Source organism: Homo sapiens, chromosome 1, assembly GCF_000001405.40.
Source record: "Homo sapiens chromosome 1, GRCh38.p14 Primary Assembly".
Classification (NCBI taxonomy): domain Eukaryota; kingdom Metazoa; phylum Chordata; class Mammalia; order Primates; family Hominidae; genus Homo; species Homo sapiens.
In genome coordinates this window covers 185,677,531-185,695,037 of record NC_000001.11, presented here as the reverse complement: position 1 = coordinate 185,695,037, position 17,507 = coordinate 185,677,531, and the positions used below count along the sequence as shown (strand labels likewise).

General features: G+C 37.4%; 1 long non-coding RNA gene across 2 annotated transcripts in view, besides 1 other annotated feature; it reads right to left on the bottom strand.

The window, feature by feature from the left end:
• Window positions 389-890: an enhancer, noted in NCBI's record as "NANOG hESC enhancer chr1:185663280-185663781 (GRCh37/hg19 assembly coordinates)". NCBI's record gives its function as "activates a minimal SCP1, AML or CMV promoter by ChIP-STARR-seq in primed H9 embryonic stem cells {active_cell/tissue: H9 hESC(primed)}" and the evidence as "EXISTENCE:reporter gene assay evidence [ECO:0000049][PMID:30033119]".
• Window positions 14,133-17,507, bottom strand: part of LOC107985239 (uncharacterized) — a 202,893-nt gene continuing 199,518 nt past the window's right edge. Inside the window, exons 1-3 of one of the 2 annotated variants that reach the window (XR_001738339.2) lie at window positions 16,787-16,841; window positions 15,483-15,589; window positions 14,133-14,334 (exon numbers count right to left, since the gene is read on the bottom strand). This is a non-coding gene — a long non-coding RNA (uncharacterized LOC107985239). Of the gene's footprint in view, window positions 14,335-15,482; window positions 15,590-16,786; window positions 16,842-17,507 lie in introns of those variants that run through there. The other variant, XR_001738340.2, reaches the window with a different exon arrangement.

Genomic DNA, 17,507 nt, shown 5'->3' with positions numbered 1-17,507 from the left:
GACTGACTTACCAAGTTAGACCCTGGTGACAGCCGAAAACTCTCACCTTCTTTTTAGATGAGTGGGTTTTATCAGTTTCCCTGATTATACACCAAACACATTTGTTTAATTCACAAACTATCCTCCAGGTTTGCTCATCTAGAAGTTTCATTATTTTAAAAAAATCCATTTCTTTTGCTTTCTTTCACTGTCAATAAGTATTCTTTCCTATAGAAACAAACAACAATCGAAACAGAAAATCTAAGCTAAATAACAGATAGAAAACATGGTACGATCTTTTCTCTCGGCTTCTTCTACTTCCAGGTGCCTTTACTTATCTTAAGAGATCATAAAACAGAAGTTAATTAAATTAACTACCCTCTTCCCCAACCCACAACCTCAGCTGAAATTCCTGGCAGCAAACGAATGCCTTAAAGTTCCTCTGTTATTTTTTATTGTAATGAAAGAACTCATTTGTGGAAACTGTATATCCTCTTAGCTTACTCAGATTCTAAGGCCTTCAATCTTCAATTTATTAAGAATTTTGATCACCTATACCTTAGAAAATTGAAAGGGAAGGCAAGCACAAACTCAAGTATTGTTGCTTTCAGCTATTAGGTGGGAATTTCCCCTCATTCCTCAGCTCTGATTGATCTCATCTCAGTCACCTGCCTGTGTTACAAGTCGTGAAGGAGAGCTCCAAGTTGCTTATTTACATAACGATCAAAGTTTGGGACCTGCACTTAAGAGACCTTTGATCCTGTACACCTTGATTTAGAAATCAAATTGGGACTCTAACAAGAAACATTTGTCCCTTCCGCTGCTTTCTGGTCTCAGCGAGGCCGGAAATACCAAGAGAGGACTTCGCAGTAGTTTAGAACTTCCGCTTCCTGTTCTGGACGAAAGCAGAAGTGGAGAAACATGAAAATGTTAACCAAGAAGCACAATATCCTTTTGCAGACCACCAAAACATTGAAGTTAAATTTAGTTCAAATGTTGCCTGTTTACTTAACCAGTGTAAGTTTATGTGACACCATATTAAACCAAAACAACATCTGTAGAAATAGCCCGGGCGACGTTGAGAGACCCTATCTCTAAAAACAAAGCAAACAAATAAAAATCTATCCTTGAACCGGGTGCAGTGACACAGGCCTGTAGTTTCAGCTACTAGGGGGCTGAGGCGGGAGGATTGGGAGTCCCAGCCCAGCCTGTGCAAAAATAGCAACACCGGCTCAAAACAAAAATGTGTAGGAAGCTTTCAGATCACCATGACTGATTTGCAGAGGAACCTGAGAGAGTGAGAAACATTATCCAGAAGTGATTCCTGGAGTGCAAGTAGGATGGTTGGGCCAGATGATCAGTTACTAGCTTAGATGGCAATAGGGGCTGTTCAATTTTTCATTTTTCTAGGTAGTTGTACTCAAATTTTGTATGCATCAGAATCACACGGAGGGCTCCTTAAAATGCAAATTGCTGTACCCATCCCACCCTCACCCCCCAGTTTCTAATTTTAGTAAATTTGGTGTTGGGTCAGAAAATTAACATTTCTAGTAAATTCCTAGGTGTTGCTGATTCTGCTGATCTGAAGACTACATTTGGAGAACCACTGCTCTAAGTAATTTGCCTGTGAAAATGGGAAAACATCTTAAACTTTATCAAATGTTGGGATCTCATTTTAAAGAGGAAATAAGACAAAAGAGTTAGGAGCATAGGGTTTAGAATCAGCAACACTTGGGATTTGAATCTGGATCTGTCCAAAGCCATGAGTCTGGGCAAATTGCTTAACCTCCCTGAACCACAGTTTCCTTATCTAGAATGTGAAATAATAATCATATCTGTCGCTGAGAACCAAATAAAGTATTCTATGTAGGTGTCTGGCATATGGTACCCCATAAATGATTATTATTTTTAAGATTACAGACAGTATTAGAAAAAATGGTCATATGTAGGCAATACTTTCTGAGATCTAGTGATGGGAGAAAGTTTAGTCAAAATACAATCTGTATTTGTTTTGGATTTAGATTAAATGAAAAGAGATTGATACAGCTTAAAGAACAATCTTTGTCCTTTCAAATAAATAACTCTCATAAGATCCCTGGTTCTTTCTTGAAACCTATCCCTGATTCCCATTTCTTTATTGCCATTTTAAAGTTTATTCTAACATTTATTTCTTTATTCTGTCCCTTGCTGCTTTATTTCTCTATGCTGCTATTTACACCAAAAAAAAAAAAAAAAAAAAAAAACACTAAACTTTTTCTTCTAGCAATTTTCTTCTAGCAAGAAGAAAAAGTAGTGGAGTTAACACTTTCCAGTTACCACCAAATCAGAATTTGAACACAAAGAATAACTAATCAACTGAAAAAAAGAATAAAATTAACAACACCTGTTGTTAACTAAACTGATGATATTTAAATTAATGTATACTGCCCAATTTCATTGTTAATGAGACATCTGTGCATTTTCACCAAAGTAATAGTATATTGCATCCCAAAGCAAAGTCAGAACTAGAAGAAAGTGAACAGCAATTCTCCATCTCTTCTAATGATTAGAAATGGGTTCAACTTAATGCATGAGACATGTTTGCTGATAAAACGGATAGTTCATTCCTGTATCAGGCAAATATTCACTGGGAGCTTACTATGTGCCTCTTTCTGTGACACTGGGGATATACTGGTAAGTAGAAGAGCCCAAAGGCCTTACTTCATGGGGCTTTATAGTCTAGTTGGGAAAACAAACATTAATCAAATAAGCACACAAATATATAAATAAAGAGAAACAGTGATAGGTGCAATGGACCAAAAATACAGGTTAAGTAACACAGGGACAGTGGGGGTTGGAGCAGCACAGATAAAAGTCCCCAGATGCTATGCAAAGGCCATGAAGTGACAGGAGCATGATGGTACATTGGAAGATATTAAAGAAGACCAGACATGCTGGAGGTGACAGTGAGGAGGAAGGATGGCTAAGTCAGGATCACGGAGTGTCCTGTCGACCGTATGAGTCTTCTTCCCAGGAAGGAAGAGAAGCCACCAAAGGATTTGAAGAAGAAAATTGGCATGATCTAATTCACATTTTTAAAAGATCACTTGGGCTTCAGTGTGCCAAATAGGTTGCTGGGTGTAGGGGAGTATAAAAGAAAAGGGGGAAGGAATGGCAAGAATGGTAACAAGAGTCCGTGCAGTTTAGGGCATTACTGTTACAGCCCAGGTGAGAGAGAGATGATGGTACATTGTACTTTGTTGTGATGAAATAGCTTAGTTATTCATTGTAACCTTCTTTAGTGGAAATTTGTGCAAAGAAAAAAATATCATTTTTTCAGATGTCAAAATATTGATGTGCCTGAAAACCTATAGATGGATCATATAATTGTTGAAGTTCCCTTCCATACTTTGACATGATTTAGAGAATTTCAAACGCACATTGTCGCACAACCAGCCTTAAGAGTGATACTTTGTTTTGTTTTGAGGCTACCAAATAGATGGCCCAAAAGATCCATTCACATGGGTGTCTGAACTCACCATTTGATATTTCATTTTTGTGTGATAAAGGCTTATCATTTCTCGGGAACCACTTGAATAAATATTTCCCAGAGGAAAATGTTTTCTAGGTAAGACACCAATGAGGATTAGAAAAGAACTAGCTAAGAACAAACCTTTGGAAAAATAGGACTGAGGATCTTCCCTGGGGAGGAATTTATTATAATCATAATCCTGAAAGATACCATCTCAAATGTCATAATCCCAAATGTTGAAATCCTTAAAAATCAAAATCCCAAAAATATAATTCTGGAAAAAAATTTTAATTCTTTCAAAGATATTTATTTACATTTTTAAAATGGGATTTACTTGAAAAACATATTTAAAAAATAACAGGCCAGGTGCAGTATCTCACGACTGTAATCCCAACACTCTGAGAGGCCAAGGCGGGCAGGTCACTTGAGTTCAGGAGTTTGAGACCAGCCTGGGCAACATAACAAAACCCCATCTCTACAAAAAATACAAAAATTAGCCACACATGATGGCATGTACCTGTTGTCTCAGCTACTTGGGAGGTTGAGGTGGGAGGATCAATTGAACCCTGGAGGTCAAGGTTGCAGTGAGCCATGATCGAGCGAGCCACTGCACTCCAGCCTGGAAGACAGAGTAAGATCCTGTGCCCTGAGAAAATAAAACACTTCATAGGCCACTTTACACAATAAGAGAGGCAATAATAACATAACTATTTTTGCAAGCATGAACACTCAGGTATGCTAACAGTCACATAGATATATCAGTTATGAGCAGACAAATCATATTCATAAAGAAACAGGTCAAAAGAGAAATGTATAAACCATATGACTACGGTTGGTAATTTTGTGCTCCCAGCTTTATAACTGCAGTCATCTGCAATACTGTGACAAACAATGTAAGTTGTTTGATGAGATCAGTCAGAACGTGCAATGGGTCACCACCACATATGCAGTTGCCCAAAGATCAGAGATCTTGAAAAATTTTATCTTTCACAAATGCAGATGTACAAAAAGGACATCTCTTCATGTATTGAGAAAGTTTCAATGTTTTTACATACATGCACAATACTTATCCGCAAAGTGAACATTATAACACACTTTCATGGAGTCAAATTTTTTAAAAAAAAAATGCATGAAATGAATCAGAATCAGAAGTCTCTAAAAAATTCTACACAGTTTATACCTCCAGTATGGGAAATGATATGAACATGAAATACATAGCATATAGAATGATAAAAAATAATACAATTTAAAACAGTAGAAAAAAAAACAAAAAAGAAAAAGAATTTTTTTTCTTTTTTTTTTTCTGAGACAGAGTCTCACTCTGTCACCCAGGCTAGAGTGCAGTCATGCAATCTTGGCTCACTGCAATCTCCACCTCCTGGGTTCAAGGGATTCTCCTGTGTCAGCCTCCTGAGTAGCTGGGATTACAGGTGCCAGCCACCACGCCCTGCTAATTTTTGTATTTTGGGTAGAGACAGGGTTTCACCATGTTGGTCAGGCTGGTCTTGAACTCCTGATCTCAAGAAATCCACCCCCTCTCAGCCTCCCAAAGTGCTGGGATTACAGGTGTGAGCCACCGCACCCAGCCAAGAAAAAGCAATTAAAAACAAAACTTGACATATGAAAAAGTGAATTACAGGAATAGATTATGGGCAATTGCATGGATATAGTCCATAAGAGTTAGCCAACTTTCATGATTATTAACTATATTTTGAAGTCTGGCATCACAATAAATAGCTGCTTTTTTCTTTTAAGGCTCTCCTTGGAGAATACATTTACATTCATTTTCTATATGGTGCTGCTCCTTGGGAAATTCTTCTGTGATTCTACATATACATTGACATGAACATTCCCTATTAAATTTTACCATCTTCTGCTTAGGGATTTTGATCTTTTGGGATTTCAACATTCAGAATTATGCTGTTTGGAATTGTGTTTTTGGGGATTATGATCCAACCCTTCCTTAGTAGGCCTATGTGGCAGAAGAGGGAGGGGTGCAAAATAGAATAGGTAAAGAGAGAACGAGACACTAAAGACAAATTTCACCTCTTTCCTCAAGTTTGCCATCCCTGCGAATGAGGAGTTATGGGAGGTTGCTACAGGAAGTATGCTGTCATTTTTAATTGGTTTTACACGATGCCTTCCCTCTATAGAAGATCAGCCAAGAATGAGAATAAATCCCAGCCATATATATTCTAATTAGACTCTTCATTATTGAAAGCAATCTCAGTAAAAACAGAAGCTAGGCATAGTGGCATACACCTGTAGTCCCACCTACTCAGGAGACTGAGGCAGGAGGATTGCTTGAGCCCAGGAGACAGAGGGAAGGATGTGCTCACGAACATGGACTTCTTCCCCACAACAGTTCAGAAGGTCACTACTCCTCCCTTTCGATTTGTTCCTGTGGTGAGAGGATTCTCATGGTTCATCTCTTTTGAAGGTGATACACAAGTCCCCAAAACTGTGGCCACTCCCAAGGGATCAGGCTGTTTATTTTCTCTCCCTTCAGGTACATCTGAACCCTGACCCACTGTCAAAATACTCTAGGTTGAGAATTAAATTCCTCAGTTTTAATGCCTCTATCATTAATTTGGATACAGATATTTGATTTAAAAAGATAAAAAAAGAATCCTCTCTTTTTCTTATACACTGAGTTTAGTATGTATATTTCTATGTTGTTGAAGAGATTGTACATAGTGCTTGTTTTATTCAAAAGACTTATACCTAAGACAAAACCACTGCTTTACTTCCTCTAATATTTCTCTCAACTTCTACTGAGAACCTTTCTTGTCTTCTGCATGCTGTTATTATAGGGAATTTTATTGCCAGTGGGTCTATAAGAGTTTTCCTGGAGTTAAAAACCTTCTAAGGCAGTGAACAGGGAACAACTTGAACCACTTTTATCTGGAGCGATCCTGTAAAATCACTCCAGATAAATGTGATTCAAATTGTCACCTGTTCACTGGCAGGTAAAAATGCAGGTACTGACCCTGGTCCAAACCTACTGGATTAAAATCTATATTGTGATAAACACTCCAAGCAATTCCTGCTGTATTGTAGCTATGTTACAGCACTATACGGATGCACTGCTCTATTTCATGTTAGTGGGAGGGAAGGGAGTGGGGTGTGTATAACCCTCAGCCGCCTTCATTCATGAAGCAGCCTAAAGTGTTCCATTCATTTGGTTAGTCAAGTAGGTTGGTCCAGAATTTTGTCTTGGTCAAAAAGGTTAAAATAATTTCTCTTAAATTATTTTAGGAGTGAAATTTGAGTAAAGGGAGGCTGATTATCATCTAGTCTCCACATAGATGGAGCTACCGCTGTAGTGGGCATTTGGAAATGTCAGAGGTGAGGGAGAGAGTCACATTGCTGACTGATGGGTGCTGTGGGCACTTGGTGGTCAGGGGTCTAAGATGCTAAACGTCCTGCCTTTGGGTGACCTCTCACATAAAAAAGAATTGTGCTGCCCAAATGTCAATAATACCCTAGGTTGAGAATTAAATTCCTCAGTCTTAATGCCTCTATCATGAATTTGGATACAGATATTTGATATCTGGCACAGAATCCTCTCTTTTTCTTACACACTGAGTTTAGTATGTGTATTTCTATGTTGTTGAAGAGAATGTACATAAAGTTCATAGCATAGTGCTTGTTTTATTCTAGATAGCTCTAGGAGTTTCAGATTTACATTGATTTGATCAATGAAAATAAATGATAGAGGAGGATTAATTATAATGATTATATTTTTCCTGGGGCTTGCCAATTTGAACACAATGTAGAGTGAAAAAAACAATGGAAGAAGTGTGATATCACCTTTCTTAACTTACAAAGTTGGCATGAAACCTCTTGACTTCAGGAAAGTCCAGTATCTGTTAGACCAGAATTCCTCATCAACTTTCCATCATCATCACTAACAACATTAAACTTTTGAAAGAAAGAAAGAAAAAGAAGAGAGACAGAGAAAGAAAGAAAGAAAGAGAGAGAGAGAGAGAGAGGGAGGGAGGGAGGGAGGGAAGGAAGGAAGGAAGGAAGGAAGGAAGGAAGGAAGGAAGGAAGGGAGGGAGGGAGGGAGGGAGAGAAAAGAAAAGGAGGAAGGGAGGGAGGGAAAGAGGGAGAGAGGGAAGGAAGGAAGGAAATAGTAACTACATGAAGTGATTGGTATGTTAATTGGCTTTATTTTCACAATGTAGATGTATATAAAAACATCAAGGTGTACATCTTGAATATACACAATTTATTATTTCTCAATTCAGTAAAGCTGAGAAAAAACTATTCATGAATTACACAAAATTTTACTGAAAGTTGGGAAGATAGAGTGCTTGTCATTGAAACACTGTGCATTAATATTTGGCCTTAGCTTTCATGGCTGTTAACAGTAGTTTTTAAGACAAATTATGCTTTCTATAAAAATAAACCCAGTGTTAGAAATCATAATTTGTACCAGACTTGGGGTAAAAAAATCCTTGCTCCAAAAATGCAGTTGAAATGGTATTCTTGCCAGAAGCTATATGCCATTCTGCAATTTATTTCCTTCTCAATAGAAGAAAGAACTTCAAAGCCATAAGTATACACATATGCTGCAAGCATGTCTAAAATCTAAATGTAGGAAGTCTGAACCCACTTCCACATGATACAATTGGCAATTCTATAATTTATCTTGCAAGATAATATAAAAGTAACAAGAATTAGAGATGGAGAGAAGACATAAATTACACAAGCAAAGAATAGTGAGGTGTAGAAAATAAACTTTCTAAAATACAAATGTGATCAGTAACTCCTATCATCTTTAGGTTAAAATTCAAGTTCCTTGACATGTCCTGCAACTCCTTTCACATTCTGACCTTTTGAAAACTGACAAATCTTAACATATTTTGAGCACTTATTTGAAAAGCATAGCAAAGCATGTGGAAGCATAATATCACAAAAAAGGAAAAGAAAGCACTGCTCTGAGAGATGGAAGGAATGAAGTTCTAGTGTCCACTTTGCCACTGACTTTGTACAAGTTACTTTGGTCATCTGTGAAATTATGAGAGAAACTAGATGGTAGCTGGTGCTAACAATCCATTAATCTGCTAGAATTTTTACTTCATTGATGGAATTGCTCAGTATGTCAACAAGGCTTATCATTGGTCTGTTTCACATCATTTTTTTATGAATTGTGTCCTGGATTAACATAAATTTAAGAAGTAACTGCTAGTAGTTTGAATATTGATATCCTTTTAGAGTGGAAAAGGGAATTTTTGGCAGTGGAAAGCAAGCAGTGAAACTCATGCTCTCTTTTATTTTATGGGAACATAAGTTTTTAAAACTCCTAGTACTTTCCCCATCTGTTTCCTTGAACATTCATTTGAGAAAAGTCTTTTAAATTTCAACTGAGCTGCAAAAAGTTCATTTTAACAATTTATCACATTGAAGCAATTCAAGTTTGTCCTAATTCTAAATATAAAGAAACCCTCCTTCTAGCAATTTATTAGAGGACATTTTTGGTGTCTTTCACAGTGATACTAATACTTTTAGTACATGAGTTCTCCCCAAGGCTTTTTCAAAAGAAGTGTGTTTCTAAATAAACTTTCAAAAGAAATCCAATAAAAGCAAAGATAGTATGACAGCAGCTACTTGGGAGAAAAAAGCCATCATAATTGGTCTATAAAGGTTTCTTTTGGGAAGTCCATGCTGCTTAAATGAAATTCTAAAAGTATCAAGATTTCAATACTTCTATGCAAATTAGTAGACTATAAAATATGTACACAAATCTAAAATGACTGGCTCAGAATGTATAATCACAATACTCCCATTAGCTACTCTAAATTTCACCCAAAGCAATCCAGTCTCCAATTTAATCCCAAGAGGATATACTTTTATGCATTTCTAAAATCTGAATTCTACAAGAAATCAGCTTTCTGCAGTACCCTGGTGGCTTCCAGCCCCACATCTTTTCATATTGCCTCCCCTCCCACCCAGCGGTTTCTTTCACTGAGGACCTATATTCATCAAAAAGCCCCAGAATGCTGCCTACTGTGTATGAAGCACCCAGGCAAAATTCTGAGTCTTAAACAGTGGCATTGGCATTCCAATTAACTGTACACATTGTCAAGGCACTGATGATGGAATTTTGAAGTATGTGGCAGAACTGTGTTCTGGCAGAAAAAGGAGAAAGACCAATTTCAACTGTAATAATTAGGATTTGCACTCTTGGGGAACAGCATTGGGCAGAATCTCACTATCATCCAAATAGATGCTGCAGGACCTATGGAAGTTTGCATCATGTAAGAGTAACAAAGAATGGACATTACTATATAACTTTCTTCCTGCCCCCATGGAACTGAGAAGACTTCCATCTGGCCTGATGGGCCAAGAGGAAATGGAAAAAGCCTGAAGTTTATCTGGATTTATATTACAGGACTACTGGCCAGAAGCAGGAATACAAAATAGATGAGCAAAGGATAAAAGGTGACGAATTCAAGACAGCGTACGTGAATGAAGTTCACATGACAGATTTTGGCAGGAAAGAGATGTCAGGGAGAAAATTTGAAGAGGTTTACTATGACAAGAATGGTGGCTCACCCCTGTAATCCCAGTAGTCTGGGAGGCCGAGGTGGGCAGACCACCTGATATCAGGAGTTTGAGACTAGCCTGGCCGACATGATGAAACCCTGTCTCTACTAAAAATACAAAATTATCTGGTCCTGGTGGTGTGTGCCTGCAGTCCCAGCTACTCAGGAGGCTGAGGCTCAAGAATCACTTGAACCTGGGAGTTGTAGGTTGCAGTGAGCTGAGATCGCACCACTGCACTCCAGCATGGGCGACATAGCAAGGAATTTTCTTGGGACATTGCAATAAACATTTAAACTCCGTTGAATTAATTTTCATTGCCTGATTGGTGTTGTTTTGAATGTGACACCATCTACAAGGGATCTCCTGGTCTCTCAGGCACAACTTGAAACCACTATCTTTCCAAAATGCAAATCTGATCATGTCACTCCTCTCCTGAAAATTCTTCAAAAGTTCCAAATCAGTCTGCTTAGCACTGGATGAGCTGGTCCCTAATTAGGTTCAGTCACATGTCCTACTATCACCTTGATTCTATGCTCCAGCCATACATATAATGGATAGTTCTGCAGATGCATTATGATCTCACAGGTCTTCAGACCTTCACACTCACACTGCTCCCTCAGCTTGAAATGCCTCCCTACCTCATTCTTTTATTCATCCTTTCATACAACAAACATTTTTGAGCACCTATTATGTGTTAAGCACTGTTCTAGGTTATAAGTAACCAAAGCAGTAAACAACCATGACAACAACAATAACGAAACAGTGAATGAAACACAAAATAAGCACCTGCCTACATAAGGCATACACTCCCTTGGATAGTTCTTCATGCTATTCAAAACACACTCTGATATGATAGTAACAAAAGGTAGGGTGTGGGCCTTGTTTAAATCTTGTTTCAAGCACACTACCTTTTAAAAAATCATGAAACAACAGAAGAAATTTGAATCTTACTGGATATTTGAAAATATTAAGAAATTGTTATTAATTTCTAGGTGAGAATAGTATTGTAATTATTTGTAAAAATGAGATGATCTTTTATGGATACATACTAAAATATTTATGGATGAAATAATATGAAATAAGATGAAATTGGATTTAAAATAGTCTATTTAGCTGGGCTCTATGGCAAGCAACTGTGGTCTCAGCTACTCGGAGGCTGCGGCAGGAGGATCATTTGATCCCAGAAGTTCAAGTCCAGGCTGGGCAATGTAGCAAGACTCTGTTTCATGTCATCAAAGAAAAGAAAGAAGGGAGACCTGAGCTAACACAGTAGTATGCTCAGCCCCCTTACCATGTGATACCCCCTTGGACCACCTCAGGACTCTGCAGAGTCCCCACCAGCAAGAAGGCTTTCATTAGATGTGACCCCTTGACCTTGAACTTCTCAGGCTCTAGAACTGTAAGAAATAAATTCCTTTAAATTAATTAATTAAAATAAAGTAGCCTATTGAGGGGTTGTAGGGAGTGAGGAAGTATAGATAAAACAAGATTGGTTATGTGAGGATAGCTGTTAAATTATCTCTCTACTTTGTATATGTTTGAAAATTTCCATTACAAAAGGTTTTTAAAAAGGAAGAAAAGAAAAATGTCAAGATGCATTTGGACTCCTGCCCTCCATCAAGTCTTTTCTGGGGTCCCTACTCCCAGGCCCATTCTCTGGAACTCAAGTGGCCTGCTTGCTTTCCCAGTCACTTGACTCATTCCATCATCACATCATTTTGCCACTGTTGGTCTATATCACCCCAATGAGACAGCCAATTAAGGGCAAGGACTGTGTGTGTCTGTCTAATCATTCTTTCATCAGCTACAATTACAATGCCTGGTGAAAAAATAGACACTGTACATCATCTCTGCAAATGAAAAACCAAAGCCTATGAAAATCAGATTTCAATGAAAGCAACATTAATTTCAGCAGAACAGAAGCTTGGTAGCTGCCTTCTCTACTAAGCAAAATGATCTGACAGATGCAATTCCACTGGTTCAACATATATTTGTTGAGTCCCCCACTGTGTGAGAGACACTGTGCTGGGTACCATATGCTCCCTATTAACAACTGTCTTCATTCTTTGGGGTCTCCATGAAAGACCAGGAGAAAACGCAAGGATGGCTATGCACATGTGCGCACACACATAAAATTATTTTCTTATTATTATTCCCTTTAGGATCCAGTTGAAATAAACAACAAAGTTAGTATCCCTGTAGTAATCTAGCATTTGTGTGTTCATTTTACATACCGTATTCATAAATGAAATTAAATGCATTGATATTTTAAATGGTTGCTAGGCCCATTTAAGTTAAATATTAAGTTAACTGAAGATAAAACAACTTTTGTTTCTTCCCTGGGGCTTATTTCCATTTTTAAAAAGTTAAAAGCAAAATATATATGCATATTATTTGTTCTACTAATGATATGAAAGTTGTAAATTCTGACAGGTTTAAGTAAGTAGTAGGTGACATGGGTCTCTACTCACCTTCTCCCAATCCAAAATTAAGTACAGATAAACAAATCAACCTCATGATAAGGTAAGATGAATAATATGCTCTAGTTTTGTGGCATTTTTCTCTTCGAGGCAGATTACGACCTCAATTTTGAGTAAAATTACATTGTCTGTCAAGAAGAATTCACATCAAATAAAGAGTATTTTCAAAGAATATACACTTAACTCACTTTGCTCTTTTACCATAACTTTGAACTTAATTTTATTGGTGCCACTGCAGTGACAATATTTCAGAACCTATGAAAATCTTGCTCAGTGATGACACAGCCCAATAGCTAGAGCTATCCTTCAACACATTTAATTCCATCAATTTTAAGGTAAAGTATACTTTGCAAAAGCTACTAACAATTCATAGAGCATAACGAAGCAGAAGGGAAGATCACTGTTGCAAATTTTCCAGTATAGCCGCACTAGATAGGCCCAATTTTATATGATCTTCACCATCATGGTATTACACAGGGCCTGCACCTTGAAGAAGCCGAAAACGTTCTTATGAAATGAACACGTGAATAAATCTCATAAGTTTGGACTAATGAAACAGGGTCAAATACTAAAAGCCTATAATATACAAGGGCATCCATATATAGTTTCATTTTTCTAAGAGTACATTAAAGCCAAAATATGTATCTTGATCAATGACTTTGGATGACCACGGAGGTCTACAGAAAAAAAAAAAAACTGGGAAAACTCTTTTAATGGTGGCCAAAATAATATTTTGATCAATTACCTGAATGTAAATGACACTTATAAATATTCAACTATGTGTTCAAAATATTTAAGAATATTTAAGGCTAGTAATTTATAGTATTAGTAGTAATTTCCATTATCTATGAAGTATCATATTAAACCAAGATAAGTACCTACCAACTCTAAACTTGCAGCTTTCTCTAATATGGGGCCGGCACCTAGCTGCTGAAGTCAGAAACCTGGCTTGAACCCTATCTTGGACTCCCTTTTTTCCTGGCTCCATTACCCTAATTACCAAAGTATATTGTCCTATGACCCAACAATCTTTTCCTTTTGTCTACCTGGAAACCTCCCACTTCTCCTTCCAATTCACAATTCTGTATAGCTAACCTGACTCTCCCAGACAGACTTAGGCCTTCCTTATGTGTAATATACCTTAGCCATACTTCTGTTGTATCATATTACTATATCATTATATTATAATTATTCAAACCTCTCCTTGCTTGGGAAGGGGCTGTTCAGAACCAATTCGGCTGAATACATTGGTGGAGCAAACCCAAGCCAATATCCACAAGAGGGAGCCATAAATCAGGAATCAGAGGTCAGAAACAAACACTAGCTCCAAGAGATCAGATTAAAAGGGTAAATGACTAGTTAATGGGTGCAGCACACAAGCATGGCACATGTATACATATGTAACTAAACTGCACATTGTGCACATGTACCCTAAAACTTAAAGTATAATAATAATAAAATAAAATAAAAAAAAAATTTTCAGGAAAAAAAAAGAAAGGGTACCTGGAAGGCTGAGCTAAGTAAGATCTGGGAAGTGAGGGGAAGGATAGAAATGCGAGCAGGTTAGCTAAAGGAAAACAGTTCAGAATAATTGCCACAAACACTGATGGGTCTGAAACTCACATTTACTCAAGGGAGTTCTGTTGCATGGAGATTATTAAGCTATTTTAACACAGCCAACACAAGGAAATCAGTCAGGGTGTTCCATTATTTGCCAGATGAATGGTCAGCTATTTCGGAGGGTAGAGGTCTGATCTCTTCTCCCAGGTAAAGTAAAGCCAGGGCCTTGGCTCAGCTGGGATTCCGGAGCTGAAAGTACATAGGAAGTGAGTCTGTGGGGCACGCTGGTTGCTGTAGGTGACAGCAGAGGGGAAGTGACATCTGTGGCTCAGAGAAAGGGTAGAAGGAGCCAAAGAGGCTCCAAGGCCCTCATTCATTTATTCAATAAACATAGAGTAAGGGCTTAATGTGTGCTAAGCACTGTGCCAGAGCCGTGTGACCTCATGGTGAAAGAGAGCCTTCATAAGTGAGAGAGTGTTAGAGAAGTAAAAAACAGAATTTTGAAGATCATGTTCATCAGGGGTTGCTCAGCTAGTGGTTAAGTTCAAGGAGATGACGAAGACAAGAATGGGACCCAAACCAAGGGTAGGAGCAAAGATTCAGTGAACTGATAAGAAGAGCCAGTGGCATTCAGGAAGCCAGCCTGGGAAGATAGGCAGAGGTAGCAGTGCATGCAGCGAAGTGTGTGCTTCAGGTGTCTGAGCCCAAGGGGGAGGGCAGGTGAGGAGCTGAACCTGTTTATAGAGGAAGGAAAGAGTCATGGACACAAGTTCACCTCTAGGCTGTAGCAAGGACACAGTGGGCGATAAAACATTCATTTGTTGAGTAACTTAACAAATGATGAATGAATGAATGAATGAATGAATATGACTGTCCTCCCTTTCACATTGTTTGATTTAATTAGTTTGATCCTTGAAGAGTATTTGAAGCAGTAAGTCTTAGAAACTTCTGTCCTGATTGCCCAGGTTGTATAAAATCTAGCACCTTTTCTTCTTTTTACTGCTCTATTTCCTGTCCTGTTCCTTCTGACTCTCCTTAACATTCTAGAGCTCTTTGAATCTCATGAGTCAAAGAAAGGAAAGGGAGTGAAGCTGAGCCATCAAGTTGCATATTTGGGGCAAATCATAGCAAAAGACTTGCTGCAGAAACAATCGATTGTTTTAGATTTTCATTTGGCTACATTATCCTTCTATCTATACCACAGGTGTAATAAAAACTGTTATTTTACTTTGCCAGTGGAGAGTGTATCCAAGTGGTTTACAGTTCACAGCTAAATAAAACACTATTTGGGTTCTCATTAAAACCTTGTTAGGATGTTATATAATAGAGGAAGAAGCTTAGAGGGACAGCAAGGCCATTTGATGCTTTGGAGCACGTATTGTCTTCCCACTCATTACCTTGCCAACGTGAGTGTGCACAGTTGGTCCTTCCAGCAAGCTCCGGACCTGCCTCTTCACATCCTTGGCTGCATTACTGAGAATCTGTCAGCTCATTCTCCTCACCCCTGGGGGGAATCACACAAGGAAGTTCAGTCAGGGTCAAGGTGCCTTGTTTCTCTTCCTCTTCAATGGATTTACTCTATAATCCTATTTGTCCTGCCAAATGAAAGGAAATCCTCATTGTCTTTTCACACTTCAGCTTCCCTAACGCAAGAGCTATCTTAAGAGTTATGACTAAGTTACCAACTTGCTTCACGTAGGTATTTGTTTTTTCCTGGAATGGTGATGGGATCAAGGCCCAAATCTATGAAACAGTTTGTGAGAATTTTTGGAACTATAAGGCATTTGTCAGGATGGATAGTGGTGGTTTGATGTTGATCTTACTCATTTTCATTTCTGTTATTCTCTGAGAATTTTAACCATGTTATTTGAAACTTCTTCACAAAAATGACTTAATGATAAAAATTTCAGAAGAGCAAAATGTTAATAAGCCCCAGTTCCTAATCTGGTCTGTGTCTAGTAATAGTTAATGCCTCAAAATTTCAGGATTATTAAAAATAAGTCTTCTTAAAGTTGAAATAAACCTTTTTCTGTTTCTTCAGGTAATTGAAAGGATGCCATATGTTATTTTAAATGCAAAAATATTGTATCTCAAAGGATCAAAGGATCCAATTGGATCTCAGAAAAATGCTATCTAGAGAAAAACTACCATTATAAATCATAGAATTATAAAATAATAAGGTGAAAATGGTCTTAAAGGTCAGTGCAATAATTGATAGTCTTGTCCCTTTGCAGATGAGGAAGCTAAGGCTGCTCAAATGACATGATGTGTACATGATGACAAAACTCATGAATTCATGAATTCAAACACGAATCTTCCATTCCCCAAAGTCCAAGCCCATGTACAGAAAATTCTAGGCCACTGCACATCCTCCCTTTTATAATTGCACATTTAGTAATACAAGCTTCATATTAAATTTCCAAGCTCATATCTGGATTGAAGAATATGTCTCCATGCATATCGTTAAACATTTCCAACAGGTTTTTTTTTTAAATTTATTGCATTTGGCCTTTATTCTCAACTCAAAAGCTTGGTATAAGTGCAAGCCTTTTGGAATTTTTTAAAAGATAAAGATTTCCTTTGTGTCTGAGATCTAGATTTTCCTCAGACCTTATTTCAACTTGGTTAGTTCAATTTTCCTCTTTAAAACTCCTTTATTTTCATTTAACTAAGGAAGTGTGTTCATCATGTACCTTCTTACCTCTTGAAATATTTGTTTTGTTTAGCCATAAAAGTCCAAATGCAATTTAACACCTAAAAAGAGAAGAGGTGCAATTGTAAAACTGTAACAATTTTGCTAAATTGAGCAGTACTTCTTTAAAAATCTTAGGAAATATGAATTCTTCTATTATGAGCTATACACTTGTTATCACTGAAAGATAATTACTACTTTTCTAAACTCAGCCAGTGAGGTATATAATCCTAATGTCCTTTCTCCAAGGTAAGAAATGGTCATCTTTCTGGATATTAAAAGACAATAAATACATCAATTAAATTAAAAAGATGAAGATTATTAAAGTGATTTAACAGATTTAAAGATTATTAGAGTTCATTTGGAGCTGACTACAGCTCCAAAGGATGAATATTAAATGAAACTTATTAAATAATTTTTAATTCAAATCAATTTCATATTCTTGAGTTGTTCATCAAAAATAAATGCTGACATGTTATCATCCAACAAGTTCAAAGCACTTCCTGTTTGGTAAAAAAGGAGACCTAATGTTCTGCATAATCACGTTGTCTTGAGAAAAGACTTCGGTTTTACAGAAATTATTCTCTCTCCCATGCCAGGAATTGAAGGAGGGAAAAGAGAAAAAAAAAAGTTCTTGGGTAGAAAAATAATTCTTGTAGTATCATTATTAAATTTGGCTACAAACAGTATTGGTATGCTTTATGTCTAAAATAGTACCATTGGAATTGCT